This window comes from Homo sapiens, chromosome 6 (assembly GCF_000001405.40).
Source record: "Homo sapiens chromosome 6, GRCh38.p14 Primary Assembly".
Lineage (NCBI taxonomy): Eukaryota > Metazoa > Chordata > Mammalia > Primates > Hominidae > Homo > Homo sapiens.
The window spans coordinates 75,671,054-75,689,449 of NC_000006.12; the positions used below are offsets into that span (position 1 = coordinate 75,671,054).

The window sequence follows — 18,396 nt, forward strand, 5'->3', positions numbered from 1 at the left end:
GATTCCAGAAGTTTTGGGGTTTGCTGGAAAATGTATTATAGCATCAAGACTCCTAGAAATAGATTATTGTACTATAATGGCTGCCCAAAGGACTTTGTGTACTTTATCTTACCCATCATACCTGTGTACTTACTATTCTGCCACCAATCCAAGTTTTTATTTTCTATTTGAAATTTTAATATAATCTCCTTAACTAGCCTTCTTAGTCATTATTTTTTTCTCTAATGTATTCTAAACATTGTTGCTAGATTAATTGTAAAGCACTGTATGTGTTCTGTAAGCCTTTGTTTTATAATGCCTTAACTTGATGTCCCTATTTGTTTCCATCTCTTCTTTCAAACTGATATTGTCCTTTTTACATAAAGCACTTGTCTTTAAGAGAACTTATTGCCGGGCGCGGTGTCTCACGCCTGTAATCCCAGCACTTTGGGAGGCCAAGGCGGCTGGATCACGAGGTCAGGAGTTTGAGACCAGCCTGGCTAATATGCTAAAACCCCATCTCTACTAAAAATAGAAAAATTAGCCGGGGGCAGTGGCATGTGCCTGTAGTCCCAGCTGCTCGGGAGGCTGAGGCAGGAGAATTGCTTGAACCTGGGAGGCAGAGGTTGCAGTGAGCCGAGACGGCGCCACTGCACTCCAGTCTGGATGACAGATCAAGACTCTGTCTCAAAAAACAGAAAAAAAGAAAGAATTATATCACAGCAGGAAAGTTGTAAGGTATTTTATTATTTAATGTAATGAATAATAACTGTTTCTTTTCTGGTAAAGGTTCATGGTTCTAGGATACAATATGATCAAAAGAAAAAAAATTGTTTATAGGAGAAAATGAAATGTGAACCTGATTTCTTAGCAGAGCACAGCTCTATGAGAATCCGGCAAATTTTTCTTTTCCATCAAAAACCCTAAGCTTCTCACAATTTAAAAACTAAAGTTTCAGAAGTACCCTGGAGATTCGAAGCAAATTATATATAAATTGTCTACCCTTTATTGCCCAATAATATTGTAACATATGTCAGTGTTTTTAGGGATTTATGAAATTTGTGTTTTGTTACAGCCCTCATACTGCAGACTGTCTTTCCTGGTTTCTGTCAATTAACAAAAATGTCACTGTGTGTCACTTAGCACCTCAAAAATGTTCAGGAGTGCCCTGTAACTTTTACGGCTTTCTCCCACATTAATGCTGTTATTTATAACTCTTCAGTGTGATGAGTAAGGTTTTGCTGGTGATTTAGACATTTAATTAGAAAGTTGCATATTTAGTCTTAAAGCTGTTTATGAAGAACTACATTAAAATTTGGATGAATTTTTTCTAATAGGTTATATTTGCTACAGTGAAGAAAAACTTTGTAAATTTAGTTAAAAAAATAAAAGGCAGTATATGTAACATAAAATGTGTCAGTTTAAAAAATTATAATGCTAAATGAAATATTCCAGCCAAAAAATATAATGTAGAAATTTGCAGTGTGGTATTAACCTTACTTGTAGCATGAGATTTTTAGCAAAGGGCATTCTTCATTGAAGAATAATTAGTGGATCTGTATCTTCTTCAGATGGCGTAAATAAAAAGATGATTTGATATTTTCTTCTTGAACATAACTTCCTTATATTTTGTAGTGAAATGATTTATCTGCCAAGTTATGATTAATCTGAGAAACAGGTTTTAAATGTTTTACTATGTTTAATGTTTTATAAAATTCTACACTTGCTTATTATTAGATAATTTAATCATTTTAATTTGCTCAGTGATATAATTGGCATTATTATTTTTATGTATTTATTTATTTTTTGTTTTGAGACAGAGTCTCACTCTGTTGCCCAGGCTGGAGTGCAGTGGCGCAATCTCGGCTCACTGCAAGCTCCGCCTCCTGGGTTCATGCCATTCTCCTGCCTCAGCCTCCCGAGTAGCTGGGACTACAGGCACCGGCCACCACGTCCAGCTAATTTTTTGTATTTTTAGTAGAGACGGGGTTTCACTGTGTTAGCCAGGATGGTCTCGATCTCTTGACCTTGTGATCCGCCCATCTCGGCCTCCCAAAGTGCTGGGATTATAAGTGTGAGCCACTGCACCCGGCCAATTGGCATTATTTAGAAGCGTCCATTTTATTTAAAAGCAAGTGCTTTTTTAAAGAAGTAAAATGGCATATATTATTAGGAATACCACATATGCACAAATTCATTTTTCAAATGAGAAGATATAAAACCAAGGTTTTCATTCAGTTTAAATTTAGAAACTTTCACAATGTAGATGAAATAGACCAATGTCTACTTTTTTTTTTTTTTTTTTTTGAGACCGAGTCTCACTGTTGTCAGCCCAGGCTGGAGTGCAGTGGCGCAATCTTGGCTCACTGCAGCCTCCACCTCACGGGTTCCGGCAATTCTCCTACCTCAGCCTCTTGAGTAGCTGAGATTACAGGTGCCTGCCACCATGCCTGGCTAATTTTTGTATTTTTAGTAGAGATGGTGTTACATCATCTTGGCCAGGCTGGTCTCAAACTCCTGACCTCAGGTGATCCACCTGCCTTGGCCTCCCAAAGTGCTGGGATTACAGGTGTGAGCCACTGTGCCCAGCCCAGTGTCTACTTATAATATTAATGTGTGACTTACTTAGATATTTCTAAATGACAAATACTTAGATATCACTTCCTTCAATTCCTTTATCTTATGCAACAATTTTATTTAAATGCTTTATGTCAGCCAGGTGTGGTGGCTGTAATCCCAGCACTTTGGGAGGCTGAGGCAGGTGGATCACTTGAAGTCAGGAATTTCAGACCAGCCTGGTCAACATGGTAAAACCCCATCTCTACTAAGACTACAAAAATTAGTGGGGTGTGGTGGCGTGCACCCGTAACCCCAGCTACTAGGGAGGCTGAGGCAGAAGAATCACTTGAACCCGGGAGGTGGAGGTTGCAGTGAGCCAAGATTGTGCCACTGCCTTCCAGCTCGGGTGACAGAGTGAGACTCATTCTCAAATAAATAAATGAATGAGTGAATGCTTTATGTCATCATTATTGACACTTTTTGCATCAGCTAACATTTTTCCAAAACATATAATGTCAACATCCACGTATGCTAGAATGTTTCGCAAGCTACTCCTTTTTTTTTTTTTTTTTTTTTTTTAAAAACGATAAGGTCTCTCTTCGTTGCTCAGGCTGGAGTTCAGTGCTGCAGTCATAGCTAACTGTAACCTTGAACTCCTAGGCACAAGCAATCCTTCCACCTCAGGCCCCAGAGTAGTTGGGACTATAGGTACATGCCATCTATACCTAGGTAAGTTTTTCTTTTTTTGAGATGATGTCTCACTATTTTTGCCCAGGCTGGAGTGCAGTGGCACAATCTTGGCTCATTGCAACTTCTGCCTCCTGGGTTCAAGCGATTCTCCTGCCTCAGCCTCCTGAGTAGCTGGGATTACAGGCATGCATTACCACGCCTGGCTAATTTTTTATACTTTTAGTAGAGATGGGGTTTCACCATGTTGGCCATGCTGGTCTTAAACTCTTGGGCTCAAGCCATCCTCCCAAAATGCTGGGATAACAGTTAAAAGCCACCGTTCCCTGCCAGTACCCATGCTTAATGTCCCCAAATAATTTGTTATTTCCCAGAGAAACCAGTTAACACATTCCTTTCAGATGCAATCTTTAGAAAGTATGTTTAGTGACATTCTAGACTTTGCAATTAATTATTGTAGTAATTGCTAAATTTATTTTATATTTGCTTTCTCTTTTTATATTATAAAAATCTTCACACTGAAAAGTTGAAAGACTTTTGCAGTGAACATTTATATAACTCCCCGCTAAATTTTACTATTAGCATTTTATTGTATTTGCTTTCCATATATCTATTCATCCCTGTATATATTCATTTATCTTGTTTTTTAATACATTTCAAAATACTTGCCTCCTTTTTTGAATGTCTCTTCTGTAAAATAATTAATTCAGGCTATAATAGGCTTAATGTGTCTTTTCCACATTGAAATAATTAGTTAGAAAATACCATGTTGTAACCACCAGTAATAAGTAATTCAGGCAAGGACCTTCAGTGATGGGAAACCATTGAGTGAAAGTCAGACCCCCATGACATGCAATTTACCTGTATAACAAACCTGCACATGTACCCCTGAACCTAAAATAAAAGTTAAAAAAAGAAAAAAAAAAGAGGAAAGAAAGACTGATGGAAGGGATGTGACAAGAATGTTAACAGTTTAACAGTTAGTGGGTTTAGATAAGCAATGTTTAGGTGTTCATTATAATGTTATACCAACTTCTCTGTGGGATTTTAAGAGATAAACGAGTAATATAAGAAACATTCTAAGTATTTGAATAAAAAAGTGAAGCCTGCCTTTCTTTGTAAGTCTAGAGCAATACTAATTCATCTTTTTTTTTAGTTTTGTTTAGATTTTATCAAGATACAGCTAGACGGTAAGCTATTTTATGTCTTTTTACTTACCAAAGCTTTCTTTACACCAAAGCACTTTACAGGAATAAAAGATTAAATAATATTCATAGAATTTATTAAGATGGTTAGTTGTTACATATATCTTCTTATCAAAGGGCATATATCTTGGTGTAATTTCATTCAGAAATATCACAGAACCTAACTTTTTAGAAACCCCTTTTCATTTGGAAAAAATAAAAAAGTTTCTTTAAGGCAGTTATAAAGATTTTTTTTATTACCCACAAGAGTAATGATTTATAGAGCATAATAAATATGTGCTTACATTTACTTAAACTTGTATTTCCTCACAATTTCCCCCATTCATGATATTACCCTCTTAAGAATTATTTTTCCATTTCATTTGTTTTCCTCCAGAACCAGACCATGATCCTGTAGAGATTATATTAAATACCTCTGATCTAACTAAATGTGAATGGTGTAATGTCCGAAAATTACCTGTAGTGTTTCTTCAAGCAATTCCAGCAGTTTATCAAAAGCTGAGCATCCAACTGCAAATGAATAAGGAGGATAAAGTTTGGAATGATTGTAAAGGAGTAAATAAATTAACAAGTAAGTTGTGTAAAACAGATTATAATAGATAATAATAGATACTGTATTTACAATATCTGTTAAATAGCAAAATGTGAGTGCACTTTGACAGATGCCTTAGGTGTATATTATCTACAATTGTCACAGCCACCTTGTGAAATAGATATTACTTTCTCCATTTTACAGATGAGGAAAAACTCACAGAAAGTGGAAGGGCTGAAGATAAAACCCAGACTTACTCATTTACAAAGTTTCTAAGTGGATTAAAACCCAAAAGATCTGCACTCTTAACTAACACTGTAATCTGAGTAAAATAAAATTTTTTAACTGATAGGAATATTAAATGTAAATCAGCCATATAAATCTGGAAATCTTGAAACTTGGCCTGAATAGGAAGTTGTTAAGTTCCTAAAATGGGCCTTAAGTCTTTATAATACATAGATGTGGTTCTCCAGGTTTTTTTCCTTCACCTTTAACACTTAAAGCATGGCTTGACTGCTTAGAAGATATACACATTTCAGCAGTAATTGCTGCTTCAGCTTAATTATGAAAAAATGTTAGCTACCACTAAATTTGCAAGAGTTGGCACATTAGTGAAAAGCTGTTTTGCAGTTAGATTCTCTTGAGATACTACCAGTTCACATGGCAATTTTCTATTTGTGTTTGACAAAAATGTTAACTATTATATCTTTAAGACTATAGATTTAGATTTATTAGATGAAGTAAATTAGTTACATACGTGAATAGATTTGTTCTTGAACTGTTGTTAGAGTAATGTATTCTGGTTCCTTCCAATAACTTAGGTGACATTGGCATGTAACACATACTGGTCTTTCCAGTGATTGTTGTGTATCCACTGTATGTCAGACATTGTTGTGGACCTTTATACTGGGATTTCTGATTATCCTCCTGGAAAGAATTAATAATTACTCCTTTTAAAAGTATCTATTTACTTCTTTTGTGTTTTTTTTTGGACTTATATTTATTTCTTTTCAGATTTAGAAGAACAATATATAATTTTAATTTTTCAAAATGGCCTTGATCCTCCGGCAAATATGGTATTTGAAAGTATCATTAATGAAATTGGTATAAAGAATAACATCTCCAATTTTTTTGCGAAAATTCCCTTTGAAGAAGCTAATGGCAGACTTGTTGCCTGTACAAGAACCTATGAAGAGAGCATCAAAGGAAGTTGTGGGCAAAAGGAAAACAAAATTAAAACTGTAATTATGTTTTTTAATTTAAAAATATTCTTAAATTGTGGGTAGTTTTAAAGGGAAATATGTTTTATTTTAATACTGTTCATTTCAGTGTTAAATCTTTTTAATTTTATTTCAGAATTACTTACTTTTATGTGTGATTTGTAAACTACCTTGTGTCAAAACAGTGGTGGGTAGGTGCCAAATACCACTTGATACAGGTCTCAGAAGCATTTTTGGTTCCTCCACATTCTATCCTTATCTTTACTTTTCATCATCATTTTCTCTGTCATCCTTTTTTCTTTATACCCTACTTCCAACATATATATGCACACACTGCTACATTCAAATGGATTGGTTACCCTGTGTCTTACGTTTGAAGAAATTGTGGTCCGTGGTGTACATTTGTATGTAATATAGGCATATATGGTTGAAAACTTGAGAGATGAAGAATACATGCTATTTGATCTTTATTGTCAAAACATGTATCTAGTACTAAAATAACTATTCATATAGGTAGGTAACTCTGAAGCCACCTGAAGCAAAGGCCACAATACTACTAAACACATAGTATAATGGTAAATAATACAAACATAATTTTAAAACTCTAAGTTTATTTCCTATTACAGCAACTTAGCTTTGCTGACCTAATTTATTGGGAACAGATCTCTCACACTGCCTACAAACTTGGAAATATGGCTATCCACAGCGCAATCTTGGTGATAGTTGAGCAAGGACTCCCCAGAGAAGAGCTGTAAATATAGTTAAGTGGGTTGAGAAAAGAACAAAAGAAGAAAGGGAAATGGTTCTTTTTCTTTTGCATAGTTTGCATGGGAGACAGTGCCAGAGGAAGAAAAGAGCAGCATAATGCCACTGGGATGGACTCAAACTTCAGAGGAAGGTTCTTTCCTCCAAGGAACCCCTGTTTCACTTAGCTTTATGGAGGGCTGAAACTCATTAGACTGTGTTCCCTGAGCCTCTGCCCCTACATCTTATAGATTGCCTAGCCATTGAACTAAGAGGCAAAAACCACTTTGGTTTTTTTGAAAGGTTATTTGAATTTTACCAGCATTATTTAATTTCATGTAGATAGTAGAGAGAGAAGTAAGATACTGGAAAATTACTGTTACATAAGTTGGGAGAGTATCACTATCTAGAAGCTACAGATAATAAGAAAGTGGCCCCTAGTTTTGCCTGTTTCTTGTTTTTAATTGTTAAGTATCATGCATACTTTTTAGTTCCACATTTTTAATCCTTTTGCATTGAAAAGCATTCTTGCCTTGTGCTTACCCTTTTTATTGAAACTTTTCCTAATTGACTGTAAATTGCTAATTTAATTTCCTTTACCAGGTATCATTTGAATCTAAAATACAACTTAGAAGCAAACAAGAATTTCAGTTTTTTGATGAAGAAGAAGAAACTGGAGAAAACCACACCATCTTCATTGGCCCAGTAGAAAAGTGAGAGAATTCCTTTATATTTGCAATGATCTTAAATGTCTTTCTCTGTTTTATTACATTTCAGTTGTGTATATATATATAGATTTGTTTATTTGCTTGCCTTCTAATTTTGTTACAGGTTGATAGTATATCCACCACCTCCAGCTAAGGGAGGCATCTCTGTTACCAATGAGGACCTGCACTGTCTAAATGAAGGAGAATTTTTAAATGATGTTATTATAGACTTTTATTTGAAGTAAGTTAATTTTCCACTGATCTTTTATTAAATCTTTAACATTCCGTCATATCTTATGTCTTTGTTTTCCAGAGTCAGGCTTTTTGAGTTTTAAATTCCATCTCTGCCACTTACTGTGTGACATTTGGGGAGTTATTTTTTCTGTTTCTGTCTTTGCACATTTTAAAAATGAGAATTCTATCTAAAAAGTTGTGAAAATTGGGCCAGGGAGATATCTGGCTTATGTCTATAATCCTGACACTTTGGGAGGTCAAGGTGGGAGGATCGCTTGAGCCCAAGAGTTCACGACCAGCCTGGGAAACAAAGTGAGACCTTGTCTCCACAAAAAATTTAAAAATTAGCCAGTCATATACCTATAGTCCCAGCCACTTGGGAGGCTCAGACAGGAAGATTACCTGAGCCCATGAGTTCGAAGTTGCACTGAGCCATGATGGCGCCACTGCACTCCAGCCTGGTCAACAAAGCAAAACTCTACCCCCACACCCACCCCCGAAAACAGGAGTTGTGAGAATTAAATGAGATCGTACATATCAAGTAGTAGGAAAAATGCCTAGTACAGTGTTAGAAGTTTATGGTCTTGTAGGAAGCACAAATACAGAATTAAAGCAATGATAGAAGCATTAACATGGTACAGTCCTAGCAGATGAGAGAATGCTTCATTATCTTTGGAGGTTGGGAGATATGAGGGACCAGGAAGCTTTCCTGGAAGAGCTTACATTATGACCCAATATACATTATGACCCAACATAACACATGTATACACCTATGTGCAATGTGTTTATACATTTATCAATTTGTATGTTTTTACTGGTTTGTGATATAAAATGGACATGTATATGAAATAAAACAGAACTTAGCATCAGTATGCATAGTTCTCTGTAATATTTTCTAGTTTCTTATACTGTGTTTCATTAAACAAAACAAAACTTTTAAAAATTGATGCTGGAATCTGCTGAATTGATTTTATAGCCTATTGGTGGTTGCAACTCAGTTTGGTGGGAAAACACATTGTTATAAAGAGCAAAGTTTTGATCAGAGAAATGATATCATAATTGAATTTCTGTTAAGACCATTTTGATAGGCATGACATCGTGGAAGTCTAGATGAGAGGTGATTTAAGGAAATTTAATTAAGATGATTTAAGAAGCCTATTTAAGATATTTTAGTTGAAATGATGAGACATTTTATGAGGTAGAATTGTTTACTATATAGAATTAGTAGTACTCCAGGACTAATTAAGTGGATATTAAGGAGGAGAGGAAAGGGTACCAGGTAGCTCCTAGTTTTCTGGCTCACAAGACCTGCTAAATGATGTTGGCACTAAAGCAGTGAATGCAGAAGGAGAACAGGCTTGGGTGAGGAGGGGATAAGTTCCCTTTTAGAGGTCTGTGATATAACAAAAGGACAGTGCCAATAAGCAGTTGAGCAAATGGCGCTAGAGTTTGGTTGAGTTCTGACCAACAGAGATGGTAAGATGTTGTTTAATTGTGAGAATGAATGAAATTGCTTATGTAGGGATATAGAATGAGAAAAAGAGTATACGGACAGATCCTGGAGATTACATTTTAAGAGATAGACCGGGAATAAAAAGGCTCCCATGAATAATTTCCAAAGCTGTTGAAGAAGTAAGAAGAGAAATTGAAGGGAAGTGAGAGCTTTAAAGGAGATTATACTCAGTGTTAACAATATAGCAGAGATCAAGGCAGATAAGGGCTAACTAAGTATAATTTTGAGTTCACAATGACCCCAAGGTAATTAAGTTAACTATACAGCCTGGACTTGCACCCCTGAACTCCATTAGAGATGGTATCAGTGGAAGCCTATTGGAGGAGTCCCACCCCCATCCATCAGTAACAGGGAGCTCTCTGGTATCAGTGGAGGTCTAGTAGAGAACATGTACTTTTAGTCCCACCTCACAATAATGAGGTAACACCCTACTACCCACTGGAGTGTGGTGCTAGAGGAAGTCTGCTAAAACACAAGAATTATATTGCTCTACATAGTTGCCAGCAAAAACAAAAACCATAGTACTCAAAATGTCCAGATTTCAAAATGAAAATCATTTGCCTTACCCAGAATCAGGAAGATCTCAAACTGAATGAGAAAAGAATATCAATAGACATTAACACCAAGAAGACACAAATGTCAGAATTATTTGACAAAGATTTTAAAGCATCTGATACAGTTGAGGTTTGTGTCCCCGCCCAAATCTCATGTCCATTTGTAATCCACAATGTTGGAAGAGGGGCCTTGTGGGAGGTGATTGGATTCTGGGGGCAGATTTCCCCCTTTCCATCCTTGTTACATTGAGTAAGTTCTCACAAGTTCTGGTTGTTTATAAAAGTGTGTAGCACCTCCCCCTTTGCTCTCTGTTACTCCTGCTCTGGCCATGTAAGATGTATGTCCTTCCTCTTCACCTTCCCTCATGATTCCAAGTTTCCTGAGGCCTCCACAGCTACGCTTCCTGTATAGCCTGTGGATCTGTGAGTCAATTAAACCTCTTTTCTTTATAAATTACCCAGTCTCAGGTATTTCTTTTTTTTTTTTTGGAGATGGAGTCTTGCTCTCTCACCCAGTCTACAGTGCAGTGGCGCGATCTTGGCCCACGGCAGCCTTTGCCTTCTACATTCAAGCAGTCCTTCCACCTCAGCCTCCCAGGTAGCTTGGATTACAGGTACTCACCACCACACCCAGCTAATTTTCAGGTAGTTCTTTAGAGCAGTGAGAGAACGGACTGATACAGCATCCATCATAAAAATGTTTTAATGAACATGATGACAACTCTTGAAACAAATGAAAACTCAAAACAATATAAAGAAGAAACAAATGGATGGGTCATGCCTGTAATCCTAGCAATTTTGGAGGCCAAGGTGGGAGGATCACTTGAGGCCAGGAGTTTGAGACCAGCCTGGGCAACATAGCAAAATCCTCATCTCTACAAAAAAACAAAAATATAAAAAACAAGGAAGAAACAAATGGAAATTTTAGAACTCAAAATACAAAACTGAAATAATGACTTCAGGGGCTGGGCTCAATAGCAGAATGGAAAAGACAGAGGAAAGAATCAGTGAACTGTCTACAAGGAATGTCAAAGTAATGATATTAAATAGGTTGAAAGAAAAAGGATGGAAAAGATAAACCATACAAACATTAAACACAAGAAAGCAGAGTCTGACAAATAAACTTCTGAGGAAAGAAAATTACCAGGGATCAAGAAGGATGTTATGTAATGATAAAGGAATGATCCACCAAGAAAACATACTAATCCTATGTACTAAACAACAGAACTATAAAATGTGTGAAGCAAAAACTGATAGACCTGAAAGGAGAAACAGACAAATCCACAAATAAAATTGGAGATGTTAGTACCCCTCTCTCAACAATTGATAGAACAACTAGAAAGAAAATCAACAAGGATATAGAAGAACTCGACAACACCATCAACCAGCAGGATCTACTCAACATCAGGATTATATTCTTTTTTTTTTTTAATTATACTTTAAGATCTATGGTACATGTGCACAACATGCAGGTTTGATACATAGGTATACATGTGCCATGTTGGTTTGCTGTACCTATCAACTCATCATTTATATTAGGTATTTCTCCTAATGCTATCCCTCCCCCAGCCCTCCATCCCACAACAGGCCCTGGTGTGTGATGTTCCCCGCCCTGTATCCAAGTGATCTCATTGTTCAGTTGCCACCTATGAGTGAGAACATGCTGTGTTTGGTTTTCTGTCCTTGTGATAGTTTGCTGAGAATGATAGTTTCCAGCTTCATCCATGTCCCTGCAAAGGACATGAACTCATCCTTTTTTATGGCTGCATAGTATTCCATGGTGTATATGTGCCACATTTCCTTAATCCAGTCTATCATTGATGGACATTTGGGTTGGTTCCAAGTCTTTGCTATTGTGAATAGTGCCGCAATAAACATACATGTGCATGTGTCTTTATAGTAGCATGATTTATAATCCTTTGGGTATATACCAGGTAATGGGATTGCTGGGTCAAATGGTAATTCTAGTTCTAGATCCTTGAGGAATCGCCACACTGTCTTCCACAATGGTTAAACTAATTTACACTCCCACCAACTGTGTAAAAGCATTCCTATTTCTCCACATCCTCTCCAGCATCTGTTGTTTCCTGACTTTTTAAAGATTGCCATTCTAACTGGCATGAGATGGTTATCTCATTGTGGTTTTTGATTTGCATTTCTCTGATGACCAGTGGTGGTGAGCATTTTTTCATGTGTCTGTTCGCTGTATAGATGTCTTCTTTAGAGAAGTGTCTGTTCATATCCTTTGCCCATTTTTTGATGGGGTTTTTTTTTCTTGTAAATTTGTTTGAGTTCATTGTAGATTCTGGATATTAGCCCTTTGTCAGATGGGTAGATTGCAAAAATTTTGTCCCATTCTGTAGGTTGCCTGTGATGATAGTTTCTTTTGCCATGCGGAAGTTCTTTAGTTTAATTAGATCCCATTTGTCAATTTTGGCTTTTGTTGCCATTGCTTTTGGTGTTTTAGTCATGAAGTCCTTGCCCATGCCTATGACCTGAATGGTATTGCCTAGGTTTTCTTCTAGGGTTTTTATGGTTTTAGGTCTAACATTTAAGTCTTTAATCCATCTTGAATTAGTTTTTGTATAAGGTGTAAGGAGGGGATCCAGTTTCAGCTTTCTACATATGGCTAGCCAGTTTTCCCAGCACCATTTATTAAATAGGGAATCCTTTCCCCGTTTCTTGTTTTTGTCAGGTTTGTCAAAGATCAGATGGTTGTAGATGTGTGGTATTATTTCTCAGGCCTCTTTTCTGTTCCATTGGTGTATATCTCTGTTTTGGTACCAGTACCATGCTGATTTGGTTACTGTAGCTTTGTAGTATAGTTTGAAGTCAGGTAGCGTGATGCCTCTAGCTTTGTTGTTTTTGCTTAGGATTGTCTTGGCAATGCGGGCTCTTTTTTGGTTCCATATGAACTTTAAAGTAGTTTTTTCTAATTCTGTGAAGAAAGTCACTGGTAGCTTGATGGGGATGACATTGAATCTATACATTACTTTGGGCAGTATGGCCATTTTCATGATATTGATTCTTCCTATCCATGAGAATGGAATATTCTTCCATTTGTTTGTGTCCTCTTTTATTTCGTTGAGCAGTGGTTTGTAATTGTCCTTGAAGAGGTCCTTCACATCCCTTGTAAGTTGGATTCCTAGGTATTTTATTCTCTTTGTAGCAACTGTGAATGGGAGTTCACTCATGATTTGGCTCTCTGTTTATCTGTTAATGGTGTATAGGAATGCTTGTGATTTTTGCACATTGATTTTGTATCCTGAGACTTTGCTGAAGTTGCTTATCAGCATAAGGAGATTTTGGGCTGAGATGATGGGGTTTTCTAAATACACAATCATGTCATCTGCAAACAGGGACAGTTTGACTTCCCCATTTCCTAATTGAATACGCTTTATTTCTTTCTCTTGCCTGATTGCCCTAGCCAGAACTTCCAACACTATGTTGAATAGGAGTGGTGAGAGAGGGCATCCTTGTCTTGTGCTGGTTTTCAAATGGAATGCTTCCAGTTTTTGCCCATTCAGGATGATATTGGCTGTGGGTTTGTCATAAATAGCTCTTATTATTTTGAGATATTTTCCATCAATACCTAGTTTATTGAGAGTTTTTAGCATGAAGGGATGTTGAATTTTGTCAAAGGCCTTTTCTGCATCTATTGAGATAATCATGTGGTTTTTGTCATTGGTTCTGTTTATACGATGGATTATGTTTATTGATTTGCATATGTTGAACCAGCCTTGCATCCCAGGGATGAAGCCCACTTGATCATGGTGGATAAGCTTTTTGATGTGCTGCTGGACTTCGTTTGCCAGTGTTTTATTGAGGATTTTCACATCAATGTTCATCAGGGATATTGATCTGAAATTCTCTTTTTTTGTTGTGTGTCTCCCAGGCTTTGGTATCAGGATGATTCTGGCCTCATAAAATGAGTTAGGGAGGATTTCCTCTTTTTCTGTTGATTGAAATAGTTTCAGAAGGAATGATACCAGCTCCTCCTTGTACCTCTGGTAGAATTAGGCTGTGAATCCATCTGGTCCTGGACTTTTTTTGGTTGGTAGGCTATTAATTATTACCTCAATTTCAGAGCCTGTTACTGGTCTATTTAGAGATTCAACTTCTTCCTGGTTTAGTCTTGGGAGGGTGTATGTGTCCAGGAATTTATCCATTTTTTCTAGATTTTCTAGATTATTTGCATAGAGGTGTTTATTCTCTGATGGTAGTTTGTACTTCTGTGGGATCAGTGGTGATATCCCCTTTATCATTTTTTATGGCATCTATTTGATTCTTCTTTATTAGTCTTGCTAGCAGTCAGTCAATTTTGTTGATCTTTTCAAAAAACCAGCTCCTGGATTCATTGATTTTTTTTGAAGGGTTTTTTTTGTCTCTATCTCCTTCAGTTCTGCTTTGATCTTAGTTATTTCTTGCCTTCTGCTAGCTTTTGAATTTGTTTGCTCTTGCTTCTCTAGTTTTTTAAATTGTGATGTTAGGGTGTCAATTTTAGATCTTTCCTGCTTTCTCTTGTGGGCATTTAGTGCTATTAATTTCCCTCTACGCACTGCTTTAAATTAAGGTGATTTAAATGTGTCCAAGAGATTCTGGTACGTTGTGCCTTTGTTCTCACTGGTTTCAAAGAACATCTTTATTTCTGTCTTCATTTCGTTATTTACCCGTCATTCAGGAGCAAGTTGTTCAGTTTCCATGTAGTTGTGCAGTTTTGAGTGAGTTTCTTAATCCTAAGTTCTAATTTGATTACACTGTGGTCTGAGAGACAGTTTGTTGTGATTTCTATTCTTTTACATTTGCTGAGGAGTGCTTTACTTCCAATTATGTGGTCAATTTTTGAATAAGTGCGATGTGGTGCTGAGAAGAATGTATATTCTGTTGATTTGGGGTGGAGAGTTCTGTAGATGTCTATTAGGTCTGCTTGTTGCAGAGCTGAGTTCAATTCCTGGGTATCCTTCTTCACTTTCTGTCTCGTTGATCTGTCTAATGTTGACAGTGGGGTGTTAAAGTCTCCCATTATTATTGTGTGGGAGTCTAAGTCTCTTTGTAGGTCACTCAGAACTTGCTTTATGAATCTGGGTGCTCCTGTATTGGGTGCATATATATTTAGGATAGTTAGTTCTTCTTATTGAATTGATCCCTTTACCATTATGTAATGGCCTTCTTTGTCTCTTTTGATCTCTGTTGGTTTAAAGTCTGTTTTATCCGAGACTAGGATTGCAACCCCTGCCTTTTTTTGTTTTCCATTTGCTTGGTAGATCTTCCTCCATCCCTTTATTTTGAGCCTGTGTGTCTCTCTGCATGTGAGATGGGTTTCCTGAATACAGCACACTGATGGGTCTTGACTCTTTATCCAATTTGCCAGTCTGTGTCTTTTAATTGGGGCATTTAGCCCATTTACATTTAAAGTTAACATTGTTATGTGTGAATTTGATCCTGTCATTATGATGTTCGCTGGTTATTTTGCCCATTAATTGATGCAGTTTCTTCATAGCATCGATGGTCTTTACAATTTGGCCTGTTTTTGCAGTGGCTGGTACCAGTTGTTTCTTTCCATGTTTAGTGCTTCTTTCAGGAGCTCTTGCAAGGCAGGCCTGGTGGTGACAAAATCTCTCAGCATTTGCTTTGTCTGTAAAGTATTTTATTTCTCCTTCACTTATGAAGCTTAGTTTGGCTAGATACGAAATTCTGGGTTGAAAATTCTTTCCTTTAAGAATGTTGAATATTGGCCCCCACTCTCTTCTGGCTTGTAGGGTTTCTGCCGAGAGATCCACTGTTAGTCTGATGGGCTTCCCTTTGTGGGTAATCAACCTTTCTCTCTGGCTGCCCTTAACACTTTTTCCTTCATTTCAACCTTGGGGAATCTGACAATTATGTGGCTTGGAGTTGCTCTTCTCAAGGAGTATCTTTGTGGTGTTCTCTGCATTTCCTGAATTTAAATATTGGCCTGCCTTGCTAGGCTGGGGAAGTTCTCCTGGGTAATATCCTGCAGAGTGTTTTCCAACTTGGTTCCATTCTCCCCGTCACTTTCAGGTACACCAATCAAATGTAGATTTGGTCTTTTCACATAGTCCCATATTTCTTGGAGGCTTTGTTTGTTTCTTTTTACTTTTTTTTCTCTAACCTTGTCTTCTCACTTTATTTCATTAATTTGACCTTCAATCACTGATACTCTTTCTTCCTCTTGATCGAATTGGCTATTGAAGCTTGTGCATGTGTCGTGAAGTTCTTGTGCAATGGTTATCAGCTCCATCAGGTCATTTAAGGTCTTCTCTACACTCTTTATTCTAGTTAGCTATTCATCTAATCTTTTTTCATGGTGTTTAGCTTCCTTGCGATGGGTTCGAACATCCTCCTTTAGCTCGGAGAAGTTTGTTATTACTGACCTCCTGAAGCCTGCTTCTGTCAACTCGTCAAAGTCATTCTCCGTCCAGCTTTGTTCCGTTGCTGGCAAGAAGCTGCAATCCTTTGGAGAAGAAGAGGTGCTCTGATTTTTAGAATTTTCAGCTTTTCTGCTCTGGTTTCTCCCCATCTTTGTGGTTTTATCTACCTTTGGTCTTTGATGTTGGTGACCGACAGATGGGGTTTTGGTGTAGATGACCTTTTTGTTGATGTTGATGCTATTCCTTTCTGTTTGTTGATGCTATTCCTTTCTGTTTTCCTTCTAACAGTCAGGTCCCTCAGCTGTAGGTCTTTTGGAGTTTGCTGGAGTTCCACTCCAGACCAGCAGAGGCTGCAGAACAGCAAATATTGCTGCCTGATCCTTCCTCTGGAAGCTTCGTCCCAGAGGGGCAGCTGCCTATGTGAGGTGTCTGTCGGCCCCTACTGGGAGGTGTCTCCCAGTTAGGCTACACAGGGGTCAGGGACCCACTTCAGGAGGCATTCTGTCCGTTCTCAGAGCTCAGATGCCGTGCTGGGAGAACCACTGCTCTCTTCAGAGCTATCAGACAGGGATGTTTAAGTCTGCAGTTGTCTGCTGCCTATTTTTCAGCTATGCCCTGCCCACAGTGGTGGAGTCTAGAGGCAGTAGGCCTTGTTGAGCTGCAGTGGGCTCCACCCAGTTTGAGCTTCCTGGCCGCTTTGTTTACCTACTCAAGCCTCAGCAATGGCGGATGCCCCTCCCCCAGTCAGGCTCCTGTCTCACAGATGGATCTCAGACCGCTGTGCTAGCAGTGAGCAAGGCTCCATGGGCGTGGGAGCCGCCGAGCCAGGCACGGGAGAGAATCACCTTGTCTGCTGGTTGCTAAGACCTTGGGAAAAGCACAGTATTTGGGCGGGAGTGTCCCATTTTTCCAGGTAGTCTGTGAAGGCTTCCCTTGGCTAGGAAAGGGAAATCCCCCAACCTGTTGCACTTCCTGGGTGAGGTGATGCCCCGCCCTGCTTCAGCTCACCCTCCATGGGCTGCATCCCCTGTCCAACCAGTCCCAATGAGATGAACTAGTTACCTCAGTTGGAAACGCAGAAATCACCCATCTTCTGCATCGGTCATGCTGAGAGCTGCAGACCGGAGCTATTCCTATTTGGCCATCTTGGAACCGCCACCCCACCCCCCCGTCCAGGATTATATTCTATTTAGTTTAAACTGTGCCCCCATTTCAAGGACACCATTTTTCCTTTTGGTGTGTTTCAAAGTTCTTCATAGCTGACCAGACACAGTGGCTCATACCTGTAATCCCAGGGCTTTGGGAGGCCAAGGTGGGAGGATCACTTGAAGCCAAGAGTTGGAGACCCAGCCTGTGCAATATAATGAAGCCCTGTGTCTACAAAAAAGAAAATTTTAATTAGCTGGGCAAGCCAGGCGTGGTGGCTCACGCCTATAATCCCAGCACTTTGGGAAGCCGAGGCAGGTGGATCATCTGAGGTCAGGAGGTGAAACCAACCTGACCAACATGGAGAAACCCCAACTCTACTAAAAATACAAAATTAGCCAGGTGTGGTAGTGCATGCCTGTAATCCCAGCTACTTGGGAGGCTGAGGCAGGAGAATCACTTGAACCCAGGAGGTGGAGGTTGCGGGGAGCCGAGATCATGCCATTGAACTCCAGCCTGGGCAACAAGAGTGAAACTCCGTCTCAAGAAAAAAATTCAGCTGGGCATGGTGGTGCACACCTATAGTCCTAGCTATTGAGGAGGCTGAGATGGGAGGATCACTTGAGCCCATGACAAGAGTTTGAGGCTACGGTGAGCTATGATTACACACCACTGTACTCCAACCTGGGTGACAGAGCAAGACACTATATCCAAGAAAAAAATAAAATCTTTATAGATAAGTCAAAAGATGTTATCTCTTTTTTAAGTGATCCATACAAGTGGCCAAAAAGCATATGAAAGATGCTCAACATCAGTAATCATTAGAGAAATGCAGCATCAAAACAATATAACACAGTGTCATCTCACATCCATTAGGATGGCTACTATTAAAACAAAAACAAAAAAAAACAGAAAATAAGTGTTGAT

At 38.3% G+C, this 18,396-nt stretch overlaps 1 protein-coding gene across 3 annotated transcripts in view, besides 2 other annotated features; it reads left to right on the forward strand.

The window, feature by feature from the left end:
* Positions 1-18,396, forward strand: part of SENP6 (SUMO specific peptidase 6) — a 116,402-nt gene that overhangs the window by 69,174 nt on the left and 28,832 nt on the right. For 2 of the 3 annotated variants that reach the window (NM_015571.4, NM_001100409.3), the window contains 5 exons: positions 4,382-4,415; positions 4,807-5,001; positions 5,977-6,203; positions 7,530-7,639; positions 7,758-7,874. In NM_015571.4, coding sequence (NP_056386.2) covers positions 4,382-4,415; positions 4,807-5,001; positions 5,977-6,203; positions 7,530-7,639; positions 7,758-7,874 — 683 coding nt within the window. Of the gene's footprint in view, positions 1-4,381; positions 4,416-4,806; positions 5,002-5,976; positions 6,204-7,529; positions 7,640-7,757; positions 8,815-18,396 lie in introns of those variants that run through there. The other variant, NM_001304792.2, reaches the window with a different exon arrangement.
* Positions 16,654-17,155: an enhancer, noted in NCBI's record as "H3K4me1 hESC enhancer chr6:76397423-76397924 (GRCh37/hg19 assembly coordinates)". NCBI's record gives its function as "activates a minimal SCP1, AML or CMV promoter by ChIP-STARR-seq in primed H9 embryonic stem cells {active_cell/tissue: H9 hESC(primed)}" and the evidence as "EXISTENCE:reporter gene assay evidence [ECO:0000049][PMID:30033119]".
* Positions 17,156-17,655: an enhancer, noted in NCBI's record as "H3K4me1 hESC enhancer chr6:76397925-76398424 (GRCh37/hg19 assembly coordinates)". NCBI's record gives its function as "activates a minimal SCP1, AML or CMV promoter by ChIP-STARR-seq in primed H9 embryonic stem cells {active_cell/tissue: H9 hESC(primed)}" and the evidence as "EXISTENCE:reporter gene assay evidence [ECO:0000049][PMID:30033119]".